At 46.1% G+C, this 22273-nt stretch overlaps 1 non-coding gene across 1 annotated transcript, besides 1 other annotated feature; it reads right to left on the bottom strand.

Annotated features, from left to right (window-relative positions):
- Positions 11030 to 11389: a silencer, noted in NCBI's record as "silent region_4013". NCBI's record gives its function as "represses an Ori minimal core promoter by ATAC-STARR-seq in GM12878 lymphoblastoid cells {active_cell/tissue: GM12878}" and the evidence as "EXISTENCE:reporter gene assay evidence [ECO:0000049][PMID:35858748]".
- Positions 11563 to 11696, bottom strand: LOC124900305 (U8 small nucleolar RNA). Its single transcript, XR_007063000.1, has one exon. It is a non-coding gene; the product is annotated as a U8 small nucleolar RNA (small nucleolar RNA).
- Between the last annotated feature and the right edge of the window lie 10577 nt (positions 11697 to 22273).

Genomic DNA, 22273 nt, shown 5'->3' with positions numbered 1-22273 from the left:
CTTTCCTGACCTTCCTCCAAGGTCCCTGATGAGGAAACCTGCCGGGGGAAGAGCAAGACCCATCAACCTTCATTCCCACTGCACTGAAAGGCCAGGATGGCTTTGTTAGTACAAGTGCTTTAGAAACAGACTTGTTGGCTGAGACACCAGCATTTCCAGGGCATACAGAAGGGGTTGCATCTAATACTTGAGAAGGCCTCAAAAGAGAGCAACAGTCCAGGACCTCCCTCAGGATAGGCTGGGAGAACAAGATGGTCTGGCGCAGGAGAGGAGGCTTAGATCTCTGCCCATTTTCATTCATTTGCAAGTGCACATTGAATGCTTGCTGTGTACCATGCCTTATGTTGGGTGCTGGGCATGCCAAGGTGAAGGAGGTAACGTTGCTACTCTCAAGGTCACAGTCTAGTGTAGAAGATGGAAAAGTAAACAGAAAACATTTACAGAATGGGAAAGGCATAACAATAGAGATTCTCAAGGATCACATAGGAGCAACAACACTCAGGAGATAGAAGAAATATCAGGGACCTTTTTGTAAAGATCCTATGTACTGAGCATGTATTAAGATGCCATATTCTGGGCTGGACATCAATTGTGTTTTGAAGAGTGAGTAGCTAGAAAATGAAGAGGTAAATGTTTCAGGCAGAGGAAATAGTATCTGCAGCAAAGGAAAAGAACGTGACATACTGTGGAATCCACAAGTGGCTTATATATTTTTTTTCTTTCTTTTTTTTTTTTTTTTTTTTGAGGCAGGATCTTGCTCTGTCACCCAGGCTGGAGTGCAGTGGCATGATCACTGCTCACTGCAGCCGCGAACTACTGGGCTCAAGCAATCCTGCCGCCTCAGCTTCATGAGTAGCTGGGACCACAGGTGCGTGCCACCATGCCTGGCTAATTTTTTAATTTTTTGTAGAGACAGAGGTCTCTCTATGTTGCCCAAGCTAGTCTCAAACTCCTAGGCTCAAGTGATCCTCCTGCCTAGCCTCCCAAAGTGCTGGGATTACAGGTGTGAGCCACTGTGCCCAGTCAAGTTTAATAAAGCTTAGGATAGAATGAAGGAACAAAGGAGGTAAAGTTTAGAATACAATAGGGAGTGTGGGGGCTGGAGAGGTGGACAGGGGTCCAATCACAATGTATCTTATATGTGATGCTGAAGAGCCTGGAGAGCCATTAAAATATTTTAATAAGAGAGTGACATGATGACATTTTTATTTTTTTTTTGAAACAGAGTCTCACTCTGTTGCCCAGGCTGGAGTGCATTGGTGCCATCTCAGCTCACTGCAGCCTCCACCTCTCAGATTCAAGCAATTTTCCTGCCTCAGCCTCCCAAGTAGCTAGGATTACAGGCATGTGTCACCACAGCCAGCTAATTTTTGTATTTTCAGTAGAGATGGATTTCACCAAGTTGGCCAGGTTCTCGAACTCCTGACCTCAGGTGATCCCCCCACCTCAGCCTCCCAAAGTGCTGGGATTACAGGCATGAGCCACCGCACACAGCCTGACATTTGTATTTTTAAGATCACTCCGGATACAGTGATATGATCAGATCATATGATATGATATCGAGATATGATGAGAGTATAGTTCAGAAAACAGTCTTGAATTTCAGTTCCAAAACTGTAGTAGTCAGATCAACTAAGTGGAATTAATATAGATGAAAACTATTGAGACCCTGAACTAAGAGAGGGGCAGTAGGGATAGAGAGGAGGGAACCTGCTGGAGAGGTATTTGGGAAGGAGAATGAGAATTGGTAGGGCACGGTGACTGTTTGGGGTCAAGAGGAAACAGCAAGAGTCGAGAGGGAACGTCAGAATTTGGGCCTGAGCCAGGTATAAAGGAAGGCAGGAGATGGCTGGATTGGTCTAGGGATTGGGGTTTTGCTGAAGAAGAGCAAAAGATGAGGGTGAATGAGAAACAAAGATAATCAAACAATAATGATGGCCGGCGTGGTGGCTCACACCTGTAATCTCAGCACTTTGAGAAGCTGAGGTGGCAGGATCGCTTGAGCCCAGGAGTTCGAGACCAGCCTGGGCAGCATAGTGAGACCTCATCTCTGCAAATAATATTTAAAAAAAATTTTTTTAATATAATGATGAAGTAATATATTTTGTTTTCTAGACTGATTGGAGAAGGAAATTGAGAAAGAAGTAGATTGAGAGATGACTACAAATGGAGAGGCAACATGGCCAGAGATCTTATTAAAATTAGGGAATAGGCACAGTAAAAGCAAAGAGGTTGGAGACATGGAAGGATAAGACACTGTGGTCAGAGCGTGCATATTGAGTTAAAGGTTCTGGAGATGAAACCATTTCAGATGAGGACAAAATCAGGGTGTGGCCATAGGTGTGAGTAGCTGAAGTAGAATGGCTGTGAGTGTCACTCTGAAGCTTGACTGTTGGACACGTCATCCTCATAGACACAGAAGTCAGGATGACGGTAGGTCTTGGGGTGAAGGGGAGGACCTGGAGCCAGGCCCTAAACTCTTCCATGAGCCAGGAAAATGACACTTATAAGAAAGAATATGGCAGGAGAATGTGGGTTTCAAAGGAGCAATGTTTATATTAGGACTGGAACAGTGTACGGCTTGGAAGCAGAACTGGGAAACTTTAAAGTTGTTTGTCGGGGCTACTTCTTTGGCTGGCACTGGGGATGGGAGAATGAGCATCCCTCAGAAGAGACAAAGCAGGTGAAGCCGTGCCCTCATGTAAGAGTGAGTTTCCATTCAAATCAGGAAGAGAGTGCGGGATTCCAGGATGCCCTTGTGTAAGAGTGAGTTTCCATTCAAATCAGGAAGAGGGTGCGGGATTCCAGGATGCCCTTGTGTAAGAGTGAGTTTCCATTCAAATCAGGAAGAGGGTGCGGGATTCCAGGATGCCCTTGTGTAAGAGTGAGTTTCCATTCAAATCAGGAAGAGGGTGCGGGATTCCAGGAAGAACTGGAGGATGCAAGGGCATTTATTTACTCTGGTGTAGTGTTTCAGAGGTCCTGCAGGAGACAAAGAATGAGTTAGGGAAGAGGCAGCCCAGGGAGAATGAAGACAAGAGTACTGCTTGGTGGTGCTTGCGACCCTTGCCACTGCCACCTTCACAATCATCCTCATCTCCCCTCCCTTGCTCCACATCCAATTGGCAACCAAGCCCTGTTGACTTTGAAATCAAAGTAAGTAGCTTTCTAGGCTCTTCCTGTCCTTTCCCCACTGCCCGTGCCTGAAAGCTCCCATGGTCTCCTATGTGAAGCACTGCAAAGACATCTTGTTTGGCCTCTGTCTCCTGCCTCAGTTATCCTTCCCCAGGCTGCCTCCACCCTACTCCCACCTTCCTCCATGCAGCTGATAGAAGGTTCTTTTTCATCCACAAACCTGATCCCATCATTCCACCACTCAGCATTCCTTGATGGCCCCTCAGTCTTCATCATGATGCAATCTGTTCTATTGGCATGGCATCCACAGTCCATCAAAATTAGGGACAGATAGTTGGGGAAAGATAATCTGATGTTAGACAGATAATGGCTGCTCTGTCTAATGGCATCTTCTCCTACTCCCCCTTCAGAATGTTATGCCCTGGTAGTACTCAGTTATTCCCAGCTCTCAGAACATGTTACTAAGTCCTCTCATGCATCCAGATTTTGCACATTCCAGTCCACCTGCCTACATGTTATTCCCACTTACCACACCTTGCCCCTGACAGAATCCACTCAAATGCTTCTTCCTCTGTGGGCTCGGCCTTCACTCCTCTGGACAGCTTAGGTGATCTTTTTCTTGAGCTCTGCCCACACATTGCACGACATGCCATGAGAACAAGTATATACTGCACTAAATATATGACTATTTCTCTACCACTTGACAGTAAGCTCTTTTGATTTTATTTATTTATTTTTGAGAGAGAGTTTTGCTCTTGTCGCCCCAGCTGGAGTGCAATGGCGGGATCTCGGCTCACTGCAACCTCCACCTCCTGGGTTCAAGCGATTCTCGAACCTGCCTCGGCCTCCCCAGTAGTTGGGATTACAGGTGCCAGCCACCATGCCCAGCTAATTTTTGTATTTTTAGTAGAGATAGGGTTTCACCCTGTTGACCAGGCTAGTCTCGAACTCCTGACCTTAGGTGATCCTCCTGCCTCGGCCTCCCAAAGTGCTGGGATTACATGTGTGAGCCACTGCACCCAGCCAACAATAAGCTCTTTTTAGAAGAAAACACTGTTTTTCATGCTTATCTTGACCACCTATCACATTATCTAGCACATAGTAGGTGCAAACTATTTACAGAATTTATGATTGACTTAGTAGATGTGTATTTAGGGAAAGGATATTCAGTCATCTAAGGCATGATGTACAGAATTAAGCTCCAGGTTTCAAAGGAAGCTCTTGTATGAGACATTTGGAAGCTCATAGACTATGTCTGTTGCATCTCCAGACCTCTCATTTTCAGGGCCAGCACAATATTTTTTTGTATGGTGAGGGCTTAATAAATATGGAAGAAAGACAAAGTCCCTGCCCTCAGAAAGGAGCCAGTAGACCAAGGAATATTTCTACAACCATGCCATTCCCACTCCCTTGCTTCCTCAGTTATCCCTAAGAAGTCCTAGGACTCCAATCACTTGTTCTTTCATCCATTTATTTAGCAAAGCTGTCGTAGGTCAAGCGCTATGTTCTGCTTTTTAATTGGAAACTTCTGGAAGGGCAAGACTGTGGTTAGTTTGAGTTGTGTGTATTACGCAAGCAGAGCATTCCATAGGAATAGACTCTTTTCCTCAAAGCATGTGACACCCAAGACCTTGGGGTCCCTGTGAGTTTTTCCTACCCCTGCCTGGCAGATTATTCCAGCTCGCCAGGCTTCCTCCACTCTCTGGAGTCCCGTTGTACTTGAGTCAGAACCAGACAGTTGGCATTAATTGCTCTCTAATTGTTTCAAGTGTGCTATTTTTATCTCCCCAGTACTCTGCACTCTCCTTGCAAAGGGGCCTGGTCTTTTGGTTTCACATTGCCATCGTGTTCCAGTGCTCAGTAAAAGCTTGCCGATTGATTTTTCTATGCACTGTAATTATTTCCAAGGCTGCCATGAGATAGAGGTTTCTGTTTGTTTGGTTGTTTTTTTTTGTTTGTTTGTTTTTTGTTTGTTTTTTTTTTGAGATAGGGTCTCACTCTGTCACACAGGCTGGAGTGAAGCAGCCTGATCATAGCTCACTGCAGTGACTTCCCGGGCTTCAAGGGATTCTCCTACCTCAGCCTCCCAAGGAGCTGGGGAGTCAAGGAGTGATTCTAGCTAATTTTAAAAATTTTTTATTGTAGAGACTGGGTCTTGCATGTTGCTCAGGCCAGTCTCAAACTCCTGGGCTCCAGGGATCCTCCCCTTGGCCTCCCAGAGTGCTGGGATTACAGGCATTCATCTCCTGGCCTGATGGAACTCTGTTGCTACTTCTACGCCTGCAATCCCCCTCCCCACTTTCAGAACTCACTGTTTTTTCTGTTGGTATCCAGCATGCTCTCATCTCAAAACTTCTCTGTTCTCTTTTCTCCAAAAGCAAATCTTATTTCTTGTACTGTCAATGCTCCTGAGCTTCTCTCTCTCGCTTTTTTTTTTTTTTTTTTTTTTTTTTTTTGCTAGTCCTCCTGCATAAGGGCTCTCTTGGCAAGAAATGTTATTCTTATCAACCGCTTCATGATCTATTTTTACATCTCCACGCAACTTATTAAATGCTTGTAGGACCTGCTGGGGTAAAGGAAGCCTTCACTTTGATTGAATTTCCCTGTTTTCAGCTTAATATTGAGGGAAAGACTGAGCTGAGGCAAGATCAACCAGGAAGAGAGAGACTTCTTTATGGAACGGTGAGCATAGAGTGCTCAGAAGTGAATGGTGAAGAAAGGGCCTGGGGAGGAATGCACCGGCCTGGCTCCCAGCTCCTTTCGACTTGGTCTCAGAGAAAAAGGCCATAAGATGGTAGAGACAGCTTAGAGGTTTGCTTAAGAAGTGCTTCTTAGAGTTCAGAGAGCTACCAAAGATTTTCTAAGAATTGCCATTATGCTTCTCCAGATGGTCTGAAATGACCCTGTTTACCCTGAAAGTTGACTGGATCAAAAGATCTGATAGATCTGGTGGGGCTGCTGAGATGGTTTTGTCCAACCTCCCCCAGGGTGTGATCTCTCAGGCTCTAAGTGAGCCATTCTGGTGACTGGGAGCCCACACATTCACAAGGCCCTATTATTATTAGGGAAAGCGTGGTGGTGGTGATAATTAATCTCCAAATCAATTCAGCCACATTTATTGGTTGCCTAGAATGGTGGGTAGCAGAGCATCGAGGTTGAGAGGCTTAGCTTTAAATTGGGTTTGAATCACAGCGGCAGCATTTCCGGACAGACTCCAGGCAGGTTACTCAAACTAAGTCTCAGTTTTTGCATAGATAAACGGATATAACTGTTCCCACTTCATGATGTTATGATGAGGATTATGTGAGACATAGGCAGCACTTAGCATAATGCCTGGTTCATGATAAGTGCTCAGCAACTGGTAACTCATAATAATATGATTATCCTGGGCGCATCCTCCTTCTTTACCAGGACCCCGTCCCAACGCTCAGCCCGCTCCTTTGAGGACCCCGGACAAAGTAATCTAGCAAACCCCCTTTCAAAGAGTGCCACCCTTTAGTTTTCCATTTCCCTCTCATCCCTTTCCATCCTTCTCCTCCATCCCTCATCAAAAAATACTCTCTTCAATCGCTTGAACCTGGGAGGCAGAGGTTGCTGTGAGCCGGGATCGTGCCAATGCACTCCAGCCTGGGTGAGAGAGTAAGACTCCGTCTCAAAAATAAATAAATAAATAAAAATAAAATACTCTCTTTCTTGAAGCTTCCCTTCCTAGACCAGGACTTCTACTTAATCTGGTGGAATATTCTTTGCCAGGCTGCCAGCCTGCCAGCTGAAGTGCTGCCATTCTCCTCTCTCCACCCAGATAATGTAATTATTTTAATGGGGGCTTTTTAGAAAAACATGTGATACTCTCAAACCCCACTGGGGATCTTGTGAATTTTTCCAGGGATTTAAAAAGGAGGGCACAGTGTGACCCCAGCCCTTGCAATCCTGTCTTGGTGCAGTAGAACTGACCTGGCCTTTTTTGTGGAGATAGGCCAACCCTGTCCAACAAAATACCCGCACCATAAGATATTTCCCCCTCTCTTGCCAATCCATATTGTGATCTGGGTCATTTGTCAGATCAGTTTGGTGACAGACAATGTAGTGCAGGTGTAAGAAGCAAATGATCTGAAGATAGAAATCCTGAGATTCAAATGATGCCTCCGTATTTTCTATTACATACCTTAGACGAGTTATTCAACCTTGCTAAGAGAGCTTTTGCTTCCTCATCTGCAATTCCGAGTGACATAAATGGTTTCTTATAGGGTTGCTGTGACGATTCAAAGAGATCATATAAGAAAAACACCCAGCACGGTGCCTGACACATAGTAATTGTTCCATAGACGGTGTGTTCATTGTACTAAAAGAGTGGTAGTCAGTGATGTTGCTCCCTTACTGGGACACACTTTGCTTTTTTGTCCCTGCCTTGTGAGTACCTGGTACTCTTTTTCGTACCCATCACTCAAAGCTCAGTTCATGCCAACTTAGTCTTGAACCTGAATTAATCTGCACACAGCCTCATCAAAGCACTTCAGGTTACTGTATCTTTATCAGCAAAGCTGGGCCCAGAAGCCCTTAAGAACCTGGCAAAGTTCCTTCTGGCTGGCTTGGCACAGCAGGAAAACAGCAGTGTCAACTGCCTATTTCCTGCAAAGGCGGCAGACTCTGCCTTTCACAGTGCACAGCAGACAGACACCACACACTCAGACAAGTTCCCAATTAACCACACACAATCAATGTCTCTCAAAAGTGCATACGTTATGCTCTGCCCAACTAATTAACTGCACTAAACATGCCAGGGTTAAAGGTAGGGCATGGGTTATCAAAAAGCGTTTGAGAACCAGACCAGGTTCAGGGCTGAAAAGACCCGAAAGTTCTGCTCTAGTTCACCACCAAGCTGAATGGGATCTTAATGCCGCTTTCTACAAGCAGGGGCGCTGCTGGAGACTCTCTACCTCTTGAGCTTGTTAGAACTTGGGCAATCGTAATGACCTATAGGAAAGTGCTCTGAGAGGTATAACAACTACACAAATGCACACTATGATTTCTCCTGGCCTTTGCTGTGGCTGTTGTTTTTCCTTCCTGTGGCAGGAAAAGTGGTCAATCTTAAGCAAACGTGATGTATGCATGGGCCTTCTAAGGTGTGACCTTTACACAAATAATCTCATGAGATCCTAATGACCTCCTGTACCCATGAGGAAAATAAACCTCCTGAGATGGGCCCCCAAGGGGGTCACACAGATGATGGCTGAGCCACAATTTGAATCCATGTTAATCTCACTTTAAAAATCTCAAGATTCATTCTCCTCCGTATCTCATGCAAAATATCATTCTTCTTGCATAGCCCCTTTCAGAGAGTGGCACCCTTTAGTTTCCCATTTCCCTCTCATCCCTCTCCATCCTTCTCCTCCATCCCTCATCTTGCCCTCATTAAAAAATACTCTCTTCAATGGCTTGAACCCAGGAGGCAGAGGTTGAAGTGAGCCGGGATCGTGCCAGTGCACTCCAGCCTGGGTGACAGAGTAAGGCTCCATCTCAAAAAAAAAAAAAACAAAAAACAACAACAACAAAAAACTCTCTTCCCTGAAGCTTCCCTTCCTAGACCAGTGACTTCTATTCAATCTGATGGAATATTCCTTGCCAGTCTGCCAGCTGAATGCTGCGATTCTCCTCTCCCTGCCAGGTAATATATTTATTTTAATGGGAGCTTTTTGGAAAAACATGTGATACTCTCGAACCCCACTGGGGATTATCCACTTGCTTCATCTCCACTGGGAGTTGCCCAGAGCAACCATGCTGATGTACATGAGGGTGCTCGCAAGAGTGACACCAGGAGGTTCCACTAGGTGACGTTTCTTCAAGGAGGTTACCGCAGAACAGGGTTAGAAGGTAGAGGGTACAGTAAGGAGTGGTTGGGAGATCCTGTGGGCAAAAACAGGATCAAATAAATTATCACGTGCAGTAGCTAGAGAACTAGCTTTACTTGGATACAACAGAGGAACCAGGGAAAACACAAGTCCCTTCTCTTGGAAAGCCTACACTCTCTCCCTTCCCGGTTCTCTATGCAAAGGCTTCCTGGTCAGAGAGGCAGCTGTTGGGGCTACGAGTCACAGGTGGCTACTAAGAGGTGATGTTTGATCTACCTCTAGGTTCCAGGCAGGGAAGGGGTGGTGGACAGGGCATGATCTGAGAGTTTTGTCATGGAATCACTTGCAAGAGGAGCTTGATGCCACATTATCACCCTCAGGAGTTATCTTCTAAGACAGCAGCAGAGATAATGACTAGGAGGTGCTGTGTCGCAGCACATGAAGTATGCCTGGCACCGAAGCTGCACCTCGCTTTGCATACACACACACACACACACACACACACACACACACACCCCTACAGAAATTGGGAGCAGGTGGACAGTGGTTCATTATTGCTAGACACCACAGAGAGAGACAAAAGTCCAGAAAAAATGATGCTACGCTTTATAAATTTAGCAAGACACCGGTGCCTCTGCTTCCTGTCTGCCTGCTGCAGCATTGCCCAAGCCCTCCTGGCCTCCTTTCTCACTCACACCTGCAGTCTGCAGTGAGGCCCTTCAAGAGATGCCTGCTCTGTGAGGTTATTTAAGTCAGGAAGCATTAATCTGAAGAAATGCTTTGAAGCAAAGACCTGGATGTTCAAGTCCTCCCACTTGCTGGAGCTGCTGTTACCTTTAAGATTTAATTAAAAGTGGTTCAAAAATCTCTATCCCCTCTGCAGCGGAAAAGGCGTCCTCCTGACAATATCACCGCAGTCTCTCAGTCCCTAGATCCTACCTGTGCTGAATTCTTTCTCTCTCTCCTGTTCCCTCCAGAATTTGCTCTCACCTTTCGTGAACGAATCACCCCCACTGGACACCCCCACATCTTGTCATCTCGTCACTCCCTAATTGCTGCCACCTCCAGGCTCTGTGTTAAGCAGACATTTCTGAAGGGACGGGCAACAGACAGAAGTAACATCATTCTGCTGCTCAGTAAACGACTTCAGACTGAATATTACGCATTCCAGTTTTTAAATTCCCCTTGAGTCATTTCTGCCACCAGAGGGGTTTTACTGACTTCCTTTCTGATTGGCTTAGTCACTAACTCCTCGCAATGCCTCTGGCCCTTTCCCCCCAACCTCTCTTCCATTCCTTGCTAGTCAGATTGCCCCATCCCCTAAAATTCCTATATCTTTTTAGGCAGAGAGATTTAACTACCTCTTATCCGTTGCCAGCCATGCCCTAAGGCTTAAGGGACATCTTTTCACAATTCAGCAAGGCGTTTTGCTAAACCTGTGCGGTTTAATACTTTAAATTTAATGAAAATTAAATACAATTTAAAATTCAATTCTCTGATCACCCTTGCCATATTTCACGTGCTCAATGGTCACCTATGGCTAGGGACCACTGTGCTGGATAGTGTAGACAGCAGAGTTCTACTGGACAGCTAAACCCAAATTCATTTCTTCCCTAAGGGACTGTCACTGGCTATTCACTGACACTTTTTCCTGCCTAATTCCTTAATGTGGATTGAGCCCTTACGCTGTGTAAGGCACTTTTCCCGCGTTGTCGCCCGGCAGCCGCCTAACAGTTCTCTAAAGCGGGCAGCGCTCTCCGCCTGGCTCAGGGGAGGAGCCCGAAGTCCGCAGCCGGAGCCGCGGTGGTGTCCCCTCCACCAAGCCAGAAGCCCGGGCCGTGACAGTGTATCACACAAGGCAAGTAGCAAGGAGGGAATGGCTTCGTCAACCACGTGTCATGTGATCGTTCCATTAAACTTGAGGAGGGGTTTTCTTAGTCGCAACGGTTCAGTCCCCAAAGTAAGGTCACTGTAAAGGAAGCTCAAAGACTTTTTTTCCAGAGGATGGAATGCACGCTTTGCTGGGATGGATGCCGCCGCTTCCGGCGGCTGGTAAGGCCCAAAGGCGTGTGGAGGGAGAGGGCTCCTTTGAGGGCAACCAGCAGTAAAAGGAGGCAGGCGGCGAAAGTGCTCCGAATTCCTCCCACGCCGCTCCTGCTCTCCGCTCTGCAGCGCAGCCAGCCAGGCCGCCGCCGCCCCTGCTGCCTGGGAGAGCCGGCGCTTGGGCAGGTGGGGACGCCCCTGACCCGCTTCCCTCGGCGCCCGGGGGGCGGCCGGGTTGGGCGACCGCGCCACCTGCTGGCCTCTTCCCGTGCTGCCGCCTGCCCCTGGGCGCCTCCGTCCCTGCCCGCTGCGCCACAGCACACCGGGAAGTCGTTAGATGCAGGTTCTTGGGCCTCACCCCAGGCTTCCTGAACCAAAAACTCTCTAGGTGGGTCTTGGCAGTCGAGTCTGAACAAGACCCTCGGGTGATCCTGATGCACGCTAAAGCTTGGACATCAATGATGTGGAAATCACCCAACTCCACCATTTATTCATTAAGTCAAGTTTTTCTTTTGTTTTGTTTTGTTCAGAAAGAATCAGATAGGAGCAATCAGGGTGTTGCAAGTCCTGATTACACAGAGACATTAGTCACATTTCATGCATCTCCAGTCATCATGTTCTATCTGCCCTCCAAACGGAGGAACAGGGAAGGGTTATCCCACCTGACAGTTCATTAAGTCAAGTATTAATGAGCATCTTCCAAACAATATGGAAATAAAGGAAGCAAAACAGACATGATCCCTCCCCCCTCCCTCCCCAACACACACATAGTTAGAATGTAGAATGGCTTACGTTATCGTCACATTTCTGTGCAATAGGAAAGGGAAGCATTACAATTACCCTTATTTTACAGACAGGAAGCTAGCCTGGAATCACACATGTGGTAAACAACTAGGTCAAGTTCAAAGCTTAGGGATTTTTGTTTGTTTGTTTTTAAGACTGACAGGAGCACCAATCTCAGGTCATCTGCATGTCAAATCAATCAATCAATGTCAAACCAGGTTAATCTTCATGTCAAAGGCTGAACTTATTTACCAAACTACACACCACCAACTTTTCTAGATTGACTTGTGGTTTTAGAGTGAAGAAGAAGGGAGAGGAGAAATCTCTCCAAATCAAGACAACTCCCTCTCCCTCATATCAGACTGAAACTTCTTATACTGCCTTAAAATTGCTGGCATCATTCCTGAAAGCTAGCATTTAGGCTTCCTTTCCAATTATTATCCTACTGTAACAGTTGCCTAGCTGTTCCCTCTCCATCCTTTTCAATGACGATATAGGACATTATGGTGCAGGCTGTGATGGGGCAGGCAGGGAAGTGTTAAACATACGGTGTGGGTGCTGCTCGAGCGGCACAGATTTAGGGACTCTCAGGAAGGTAGGAATTTAACTCGAACTGCCTACTTGGGTATTAAGAGGGGAAGACAATGGATCCAAATAGAAGCAGGAAAATGCTGAAGAGGAGAGATAGGAACAGAAGACAGACTTGGTCTCCTCTTTCATAATTTAGCAGCTTTGAGCACCAGATAGGCTGTTTATTAACAGCACCCAGTGGGAGCACCTGTATGTGCAGGGCATTGGGTCAGGTCCCTGCCTTCAAGGGACATGCTACTTTGCAGGTATGTAGAGATGAATGGCTTAAACATACGTGGTATTTCTGTGTTTAAAATTCCCTTGGCCATAAATATATATATATATTTTTAGACAGAGTCTTACTCCGTCACCCAGGCTGGAATTCAGTGGTGCAGTCTTGGCTGACTGCAACCTCTGCTTCCCAAGATCAAGCAGTTCTTGTGCCTCAGTCTCCCAAGTAGCTGGGATTAGAGGCACATACAACCACACACAGTGAATTTTTGTATTTTTAGTGGACAGGGTTTCACCACGTTGGCCAGGCTGGTCTCGAACTCCTGGCCTCAAGTGATCCGCCTGCCTCAGCCTCCCAAAGTACTGGTGTCACAGGATCCTTAGGGTGTCGCTTTTCCAACCGGAAACCTCTGTGGCCGGGGGCATCTTAGCCCGAGTTTTGCTTGGGCCCACTGGGCTCGTTTCAGCCACTCAGCCCTGCAAGCTGTGCTTGGATCACATTACCAGCTTGGATCCCATGCCTGCCAAGGGCAAGTCAGGTGCAGAACAGCAAGGGGTGTGTGAGCAAGCACAGGGTCTGGCCACTGCGCACAGCCAGGCATGCCAGCTGCAGCAGGGTGAACAGCTCCAGGAGCCAGCACAGGCACCAGCTCCACACAAGGCTGCAGCTGGACCAGGCGTACCACAAGCAGCTTCCACTGTGGGTACCAGGGAACATGGTGGCACCCAGAAGCTTGGAGATGCCAGGAACCACGAAGCCCCAAAGATGGTGTCATAGCCTTTGCTCAGGGAGCCCCTAGGTCCAGGCTCCCCAAAGAATGGCAGCTCTTCTCTCCTTCTCATCACCTGCAACGTGGTTAACTGGGGTGGGGGAGAAGGAGGAGTGTGTTTCGGCCCTCTTTGTGTTACAGCTCTTTCAGTCCTGAAGCGTCCTGAGTTCTTGTCTTGCATCCAGGAAGAATGAGAAACATACAACTAGAGGGTGAGCAAGGTGGAGAGGAGCTTCACTGAGCGACAGAACAGCTCTCAGAAGACCTGAAGTGGGTAGCTCCTTTCCACAGGCAGGTCATCCTGACCAGTCCAGGAGAACTTAAGTTGGTAGCTCCTTCCTACAGCTGGTAGTCCCGATGTCTCTGTGAGTCTGGCTGAGTCTGGGGGTTTTTATGGGCTTCAGAAGGGAGGAAGTGCCTGCTGATTGGTCCAAGAACAGCCATGGGCGGGCCAGAAAAAGCACCATAAATTCTCACTCTGTGCCATGGACTCCACCCAGACCTGACACTCCCACCCCCAGGCTTCAGGCCATCTGGGGCTTGAGGGTGGGTCTTCACTGGGGGCCGGCCCCTTTCCGCCCAGGAGCCTGTCTGCCTCCTGCTGCTGTCTACATGTCATCCGCAGCACCCAGGTTGTTCATGCCAAGGGGTGCTTGCAGGCCTGTGCTGAGCCACCCTCGGCCCCTTCTTGGCCTCCCTCCTGTGCTCATCAGTGCCCAAAGTCTGGAGGGGGCTGAGGCAGCTGGGGGCTGGTGTGTCAGTGCCACCCTGAGTGTGCACACACCCAGACAGGTCACAGCAGCGCCTGGGCTCAGCCACAACTTTGCTCCACCCCAGAGCAGGCCCTGAAAGTGGGCAGAGACCAGACAGCCAGAGCAGGTACTTCTGAGCCTGCGGGGGAAGGGGGGCTTCCCAGGTCCCTGAGAGCGCAGCGATCCCTGGGTCTGCAGCCACAGAGGGAGGGGTTCCCACCCTGCCAACTCGGAAGGAGGCAGGGCTCCCTCCCACCTGTTCCCAGCTCCACCTGCTCCATGGAGGGCGCAGTTCCGGCTGTGCCTCCCACTTTGCAGTAGGTGTCTTTGCAGCAGCTGCTCCAGACGGGCCACTGCTGCCATCACTAGGATTACAGGCATGAGCCACCGTGCCTGGCCCGTAAAAATAAACTAACAAACAAATAGGAATATTTTTGTAGTAATAATGGTAACATTTATTGAGCACCTAACTAAATGTTAGACAGCACTCCAGATAATAGAACTAGGGTGGCCAAGAAAATTACAACTACCTTGGAAAGTCCCATTTCTGGTCTTCAGCTTTGCAGGCCTGAAAATTGGATTTTACTAGTTCCCTTCCTGGTTATCTGATGCATACCTATCAGGTTCACAAGAAAATATATTAACCAGGGATGACATGTCAAGTAACAGTCAGATTTATTACTGCTGAGTGGTTATTGGTCATATTTGTGAGACAGCACCTCCTCTTTCCTATGAAAATCTATAGGATAAACCAATTTCAGTGGCTTGGTGGGATGGGATCAAAGCAAGGTGCATTGGATGAGGGTATTGGAGCATGTTAAAAGGTTATATCACAGATGTCTGCTCATTTTCAGCACAGGAAACTCACCTGAAATGGGTCAGAATGCTGGCACATGGAGGGCTCCTGTAAGGGAAGGGCTCAGGACACCCTCTGCCTGGGTCAGGGCTGGGTCACACGACTGGACGCACACTCCCTTCCTGCCTCCTTGCATGATTTCAGACAGGCTGCAATGCAGGTCGTCTGGTTTGAGCTTTAGCCTCAAGGTTCTCTGGTCCCCTTGGTTGTAGTTCTCCTGCTCTCCACTCCTCAGGATTATACTCACAACTACCTCTCAAGGTAGTTTCATCAGTAGATAGCTCATTCTCATCTATTCTGGGCTGACTTCAGGGCTGGGCACAGTGGCACATGCCTGTGGATAACCCCACTGGGTAATCCCAGTGGATGCCTATAAACCACTTAGGGAGGCCAAGGCAGGAGGGCCCCTTGAGACCAGGAGTTCAAGACCAGCCTGGACAACATAGCAACACTCTGTCTATACACACACAAACACACACACACAGGCACACACAAATGTGCCAGGTGTGGTGGCACACACCTGTACACCTAGCTACTTGGGAGGCTCTGGTAGAAAGATTACTTGAGCCCAGGAATTCAAGGCTGCAGTGAGCTCTGATTGTACCACCGCACTCCAGCCTGGGCAACAGAAAGAGAGACCCTGTCTCAGAAAAAGCAGGTTACTCTATCAGGAAAATGGCCTTTTCCTAACCACATCTCCCAGGGCCCATGCTGCCCTAGGTGCTGACTGCTACACAAGGCAGCCCAGGCATCTGCTCTCAACCCTGTTTTTAGCCTTTCAGTTCCCCCCATCCTTACCTTCCACTAACACAGAGACTGAGAGAAGTGGAACAAAACCCTCACGGAAGGAGCCTTTGAACCTTTTGTTTACTTCTCTGCCTCTCCTAAGAGCTGTGTCTTTCATATCCATCTTTGCACCCCCAGATGGTAGAATAGTTCCTAATAATCACTAAAAATTAATAAATCAATATGTGTCTTTTGGATGAATGGAAAGAGTTCTGGTCTGCAGATCAATACAGTTAAAGTGTAAAATTATTTTAATATCATCATTAACATACTTTGGGAACTTTGACTAACAACTCGATTGCTTTGTTCTCCGTTTTGTCAAATAAGAGAATCGCCTCTCCTCCCTTCCAGCCTCAAAAGAATGTTTTGAGGAAGGTGTACGTGATCACTGCCAGGGATTGTAATTCCATGAAGCAAGGTATATGTCACTGTTTCTCACCTTTTCTATCTGAAGGAAAGTAATAAAGCATAGACGCTTCTAGGCATTGAAAAATACGTTTTCAGTTCCATCATGTCAGTCTGTGTTTCACAACACAGGAAGAAGCATCTTGTCGCACCAAACTCCTGAGAATAGTGAGATAGCGTCTAAGTATTTGATAGCTCCTAAAAGTGCTATTGATAAAGTTGCACCATTATTCTGGCTAGTGATTGACTGCATGTGTGTGGTTTTAATACAGAGAAGACATTATTTTTAAAATTTAGGAATTAGGACGGAAAAACAGATATGCAATGGAATGGTTGTTTCTCGTCTAGAATTTAGTGATTCACAGCTCTTGGTCAAGGAAGACTTGGGACTCAAGGAGATTATGGGTTTTCTAGTGAAGACTGAGTCAGACCTCATGATATCAGGCCCCGGATGAAGAGTGTGGGGACCCTGGCCACTGCCCTTCTTTCCCAGTGGTCAAGTCACCCGCAGGGCATTGCGTCCTGTGGGAGGTGGACTCTGCTCAACATTGTATTTTGCAGAAAATAATCCTGGCTCTTCTTGGTTTTCATTTAAGGCTCTGTGTGTGCTCTGCCCTTGGCCAGCGGCACATGTACACTTTCTTCCTTCACACTAGAAGTCTGGGTTCCTAAAGGCTAACGATACAATCAGCTATCCTGATTTTCAAAGGACAGACATAATAGGCAAAAATCCATTTCGAAGCCTGGGGCGCAAGTGAATAGCAGCAGTAGAATAAGGATAGTTTATCATCACTAATCTTCTGCTCAAAATATTTCTTCCTGTCTCCCCTGCTCATCTTCTCCCTTTCCACCTCTCTCCCCTGCCTTCATTTTTCCTGCTCCTCTTATCCTCCTTGACTAAAATACATAATTGAAATGGTTTTTGTGTTAATACATTTTTTTGAATAAGATTGTAAAATCTGGCTGGGCATGGTGACTCATGCCTGCAAGCCCAGCACTTGGGGAGGCTGAGGCGGGTGGATCACCTGAGGTCAAGGGTTCTAGACCAGCCTGGACAACATGATGAAACCTCATCTCTACCAAAAATACAAAAAATTAGCCGGGCATGGTGATGGGCACCTGTAATCTCAGCTACTCAGGAGGCTGAGGCAGGAGAATCGCTTGAACCTGGGTGATAGAGGTTTCGGTGAGCCGAAATCACGCCACTGCACTCCAGCCTGGGCAACAAGAGTGAAACTCCATCTCAAAAAAAAAAAAAGATTGTAAAATCTCATTTCTTAATTTTAAAAGCAGTAGAGTTGAACATTTTGCACTGCCTAAAGAAAAAAAATTGTTTCTATATTTCTTCGTATGTGGGAAGGGTGAAGTGTGGGGCAAGGGGCAATAGTGTGGAAAGAAAAATAATCTACCTTTGACACTAGTCTAACCTTTTCTTTGTGACTTCTGAGCTTTTTCCTAATTTGATGCCACTATGTAAGCAACCATATTTCCAACTCCTCCAGCATGGACCCCGGTCTGTAGCCAGGACAGTCTCCCTAAGGCCCTTGCTCCTGCCTCTGTGGCCTAAGGATAGACATGAGTTCTAACACCAGCGTGGCCTCTTAGTACCTGTGACAGATCATTCGGTCTCATAACTTCAGTTTTCTCATTCACAGCTTCATGCCTGACATGCCTAACTCACAGGCAACAAGAGAACACAATGATAAAGCTGTGGAATGGGAAACTGTTCTGAGAAATATGAAGTTTTGTATGAATGGTCAGTGCTCCATTTCTGATCTCCAAAATGAGTTTCCTCGTTTTCCTGGTCAACCAGGTCCAATTTATCTTTCAATGATTACTGTCAATCCCTACTTGTTTTCTTTTCTTTTGAGACAGAGTCTCGTCCAGTCACCCAGGCTGGAGTGCAATGGCTCGATCTCGGCTCACTGCAAACTCCGCCTCCCAGGCTCAAGCAATTCCCCTGCCTCAGCCTCCTGAGTAGCTGGGACTACAGGCACCCACCACCACACCCGGCTAATTTTTGTATTTTTAGTAAAGACAAGGTTTCACCATGTTGTTCAGGCTGGTCTTGAACTCCTGACCTCAGGTGATCCACCCGCCTCAGCCTCCCAAAGTGCTGGGATTACAGGCGTGAACCACCATGCCCAGCAAAGTGAAACACATACAAAAGCAGAGAGAGTAGCATAATGAACGTCCAGATACCCATCACCCAGCTTCAGTGATTATCAACATGTGGACAACCCTTTTCATTTATACTCCCACTTGCCCCCTGATTATTTGGAAGAAAACCCTAATTCCTAGATTTTTAAAAATTCTTCAAAATATTTAAAATAAAAAAGTAAATAATGACCGCAATAGTATAGCATGCCTTTAAAAATAAACAGTGACTCAATATCAAATAACTGATCAGAAATCAAGTTTATTTGCCGGGCGCGGTGGCTCACACCTGTAATCCCAGCACTTTGGGAGGCCAAGGAGGGTGGATCACCTGAGGTCAGGAGTTCAAGACCAGCCTGGCCAACATGGCAAAACCCTGTCTCTATTAAAAATGCAAAAATTTAGCCGTGCGTAGTGGCGGGTGCCTGTAATCCCAGCTACTTGGGAGGCTGAAGCAGGAGAATTGCCTGAATCCAGGAGGCGGAGGTTGCTGTGAGCCGAGATCACGCCATTGCACTCCAGCCTGGGCGACAGAGCGAGACACTGTCTCAAAGAAAAAAAAATCAAATTTAGTCTCTTGATATCACACACACACACACGCACACAGAGTCATGTGCCGCATAAAATGATGGACCACATAAACAAACAAAGGTGGTCCCCTAAGATTATAGTGAAACTGAAAATGTTCTATTGCGTAGTGGCATCACAGCCATCATAACATCATAGCACAACGCAGTCCTCACGTGTTCGTGGTGCTGCTGGTGTAGACCTACTGTACTGCCAGTCGTATAAAAGTATAGCCATGCAATTATGCACAGTACATAATACTTGAAAATGATAATAAATGACTGTGTTACTAGTTTATGTATTTACTATGCTATACTTTTTTCATTATTTTAGAGTACACTACTTCTACTTAAAAAAAAAAAAAGTTAACTATGAAACAGCCTCAGGCAGGGCCTTGAGGAGGTTTCCAAAAGAAGGCATTGTCATCCTAGGACAGGACAGCTCCATGCATGTTATTGCCCCTAAAGACCTTCCAGTGGGACGCGACGTGGAAGTGGAAGACAGCGATATTGATGATCTAGGCTCTGAGTAGGCCTAGGCTAATGTGTGTGTTTGCGTCTTAGTTTTTAACAAAAGAGTTTAAAAAGAAAAAAATTTGAATTGAAAAAAGCTTATAGAATAAAGACATAGAGAAAAATATTTTTGTACAGTTGTACAATAGGTTTGTAATTTAAACTAGTCTTATAAAAGAGTTGAAATGTTTTTTAAGTTTCCTTTTTTTTTTTTTTTTTGAGACAGAGTTTCGCTCTTGTCGCCCAGGCTGGAGTGCAGTGGCGCAATCTCGGCTCACCGCAACCTCTGCCTCCCAGGTTCAAGCAATTCTCCTGCCTCAGCCTCCCAAGTAGCTGAGATTACAGTAAAAATTAAAAAGTAAAAATGTTACAGTAATGGACTGGCATACTGGCTCACACCTGTAATCCCAACACTTTGAGAGACTGAGGTGGGAGAATTGCTTGAGGCTTGAAGTTGGAGACCAGCCTGGGCAACACCGTGAGACTCCATCTCTACCAAAAAAAAAAAAGTTAGCTGGGCATGGTGGTGTGCACCTGTAGTCCTAGCTACTTGGGAGGCTGAGATAAAAGAATTGCTTGAGCCTGGGATGTTGAGACTGTAGTGAACCATGATTGTGCCCCTGCACTCCAGCATGGATGACAGAGTGAGATCCTGTTTCAAAAAAAAAAAAAGTTACAGTAAGCTAAGGCTGATTTATTATTAAAGCAAAAAAAGTGGTTTTTTAAACATAAATTTAGTGTGGTCTATGTGGACATCGTTCATCAAGTCTATGATGGTGTGTGGTAATGTCCCAGGCCTTCACATTCATTCATCACCTGCTCACTGACTCACCCAGAGCAACTTCCAGTTCTGCAAGCTCCAATCAGGTGGAGCTATACAGGTGTTCCTTATTAAAAATCTTCTATACCTTATTTTTACTATACCTTTTGTGTTTATTAATATTAACAGGTACACAATTTAGATACATATTTGTGTTTAGATATACAAATGCTTACCATCGTGTTAGAATTGCATACAATGTTCAGTACGGTAACATGCTCTACAGGTTGATAGCCCAGGAGCAATAAGCTATATCATATAGCCTAGGTATGTAGGAGGTTGTGAGATCTAGGTTTGTGTAAGTACACACTATGACATTCACACAAGGACAAAATCGCCTAACCATGTACTTCTCAGAACGTATCCCTGTTGTTAAGCCATGCATGACTTTTATTCATTATATATGTGTGTATACCTATACATATATATAAACACATATGTGTGTATATCTTTATACTGCATATATATATATATGTTGTGTGTATTTATATATTTAAGTTGGTTTATATGAATTGAGTCAAACAAGTTTCAACCATTGTTTTTGGTGGATATGTCTTTCTAGTATCTTTTCTTTCTTTCACTTTTTTTTTTTTTAAGACGAAGTCTCACTTTGTTGCCTAGGCTGGAGTGCAGTGGTAGGATCTTGGCTCACCGCAATTCTGCCTCCCAGGGTCAAGCGATTCTTATACCTCAGCCTCCTGAGTAGCTGGAACTACAGGCATGCACCACCCTGCCTGGCTAATTTTTATATTTTTAGTAAAGAGAGAGTCTCACCATATTGGCAGGGCTAGTCTCGAACTCTTGGCCTCAAGTGACCCGCCCGCCTTGGCCTCCCAAAGTGCTGGGATTACAGGCGTGAGCCACTGCGACTGGCCTCTAATATCTTTTTATTTATGTCATCTGTATCTCTATTGTTTTCTTGCAGCTTATTTGTTGAAGAAGTTGACGCTAAGGGTTCTGTATAATCTATCACATTTCAGAGTGTGCTGACTATATGCCTGTGCTGTTCTTTAATATTTTTCTCCTTCCCCTGTATTTCCTATGAACTGCAGTTGGAGTCTGAGGCTAGATCCCATTCAAGTTGGATTTTTTGGTGAGGCTATTTTGCGGAGTAGTTGAGTACTTCCTGTCACTTCACAGGCGGAGATATAAGACACAAGCCATTTCTATTTGTGTGACATGACTTCCATCAGTGGATTCAGAATGTGCCAGTGAAATCCTTTACATGTAGAACTCCCCGCAGCCTCTTGCCTAATGGCTTTAGCAGCCATCCACGACTATGGTGGGTTTTTTTTAACACGTCTACCTGGCTAGATCAGACCGTATTTCCCAGAGTTCCCTTTTCCCATATGTTTCTGGCTAAGATGAGCTGTGGGGGGATTCTTGGGAGCTTTGGAAGATGGAAGTGAGGCAGTAGCCATTTGGTAGGTCACACATGCGGGGCACATCTGCTGGCCCCTCTGGTGGGCATGAGGCACAGCTGGCCTGCAGCTCCCTCACCTTCCCCTGCATACTCCTTCAGCTTCTCCCCAACTTGGGCTAGTGTGTGTGCTTAGCCCAGGACAAAGAGCCCTGGCTTCTGCAGGACACCCAGACCATCAACATCAGAGAACTGACATAGCTCTCAGTCCAAATTCATGAATTCCTGCTTGTTTTGCTCTCCACAATTTACATCCATCCCCCCGTTCCAGCTGCCTGCCCTGTAGACTTCAAGCTCTAGCCTGAAATTGGATGTTTTTTTATTACGGGTTGCAAAATGGTAATATTCTAGTTGTCATATTCCTTTTGCATTAATTAGCTGACATTTCTGAGTTACAGTCCAAACAGGAAAAGCAAAACGAATACTTACTTCTTTGCCTTCAGTTTTCTTCTTTACCAGTTTTCACAATGCGTGGGTTCCTTAGCATTTTACAAAGGTGTTCATTTAGTTGTATTTATTTGCACATTTTTTAGCATTATGAACTTGTAGATTTTAATATATTTGGTGTGGCATCGCAGTTATTACTATTATCATTATTGTTGCCATTATGTTAAAAT

This window comes from Homo sapiens, chromosome 11, assembly GCF_000001405.40.
Source record: "Homo sapiens chromosome 11, GRCh38.p14 Primary Assembly".
Classification (NCBI taxonomy): Eukaryota; Metazoa; Chordata; class Mammalia; order Primates; family Hominidae; genus Homo; species Homo sapiens.
Note: the sequence above shows the minus strand (reverse complement) of the source record. Positions and strands in the feature narration are given on the sequence as shown.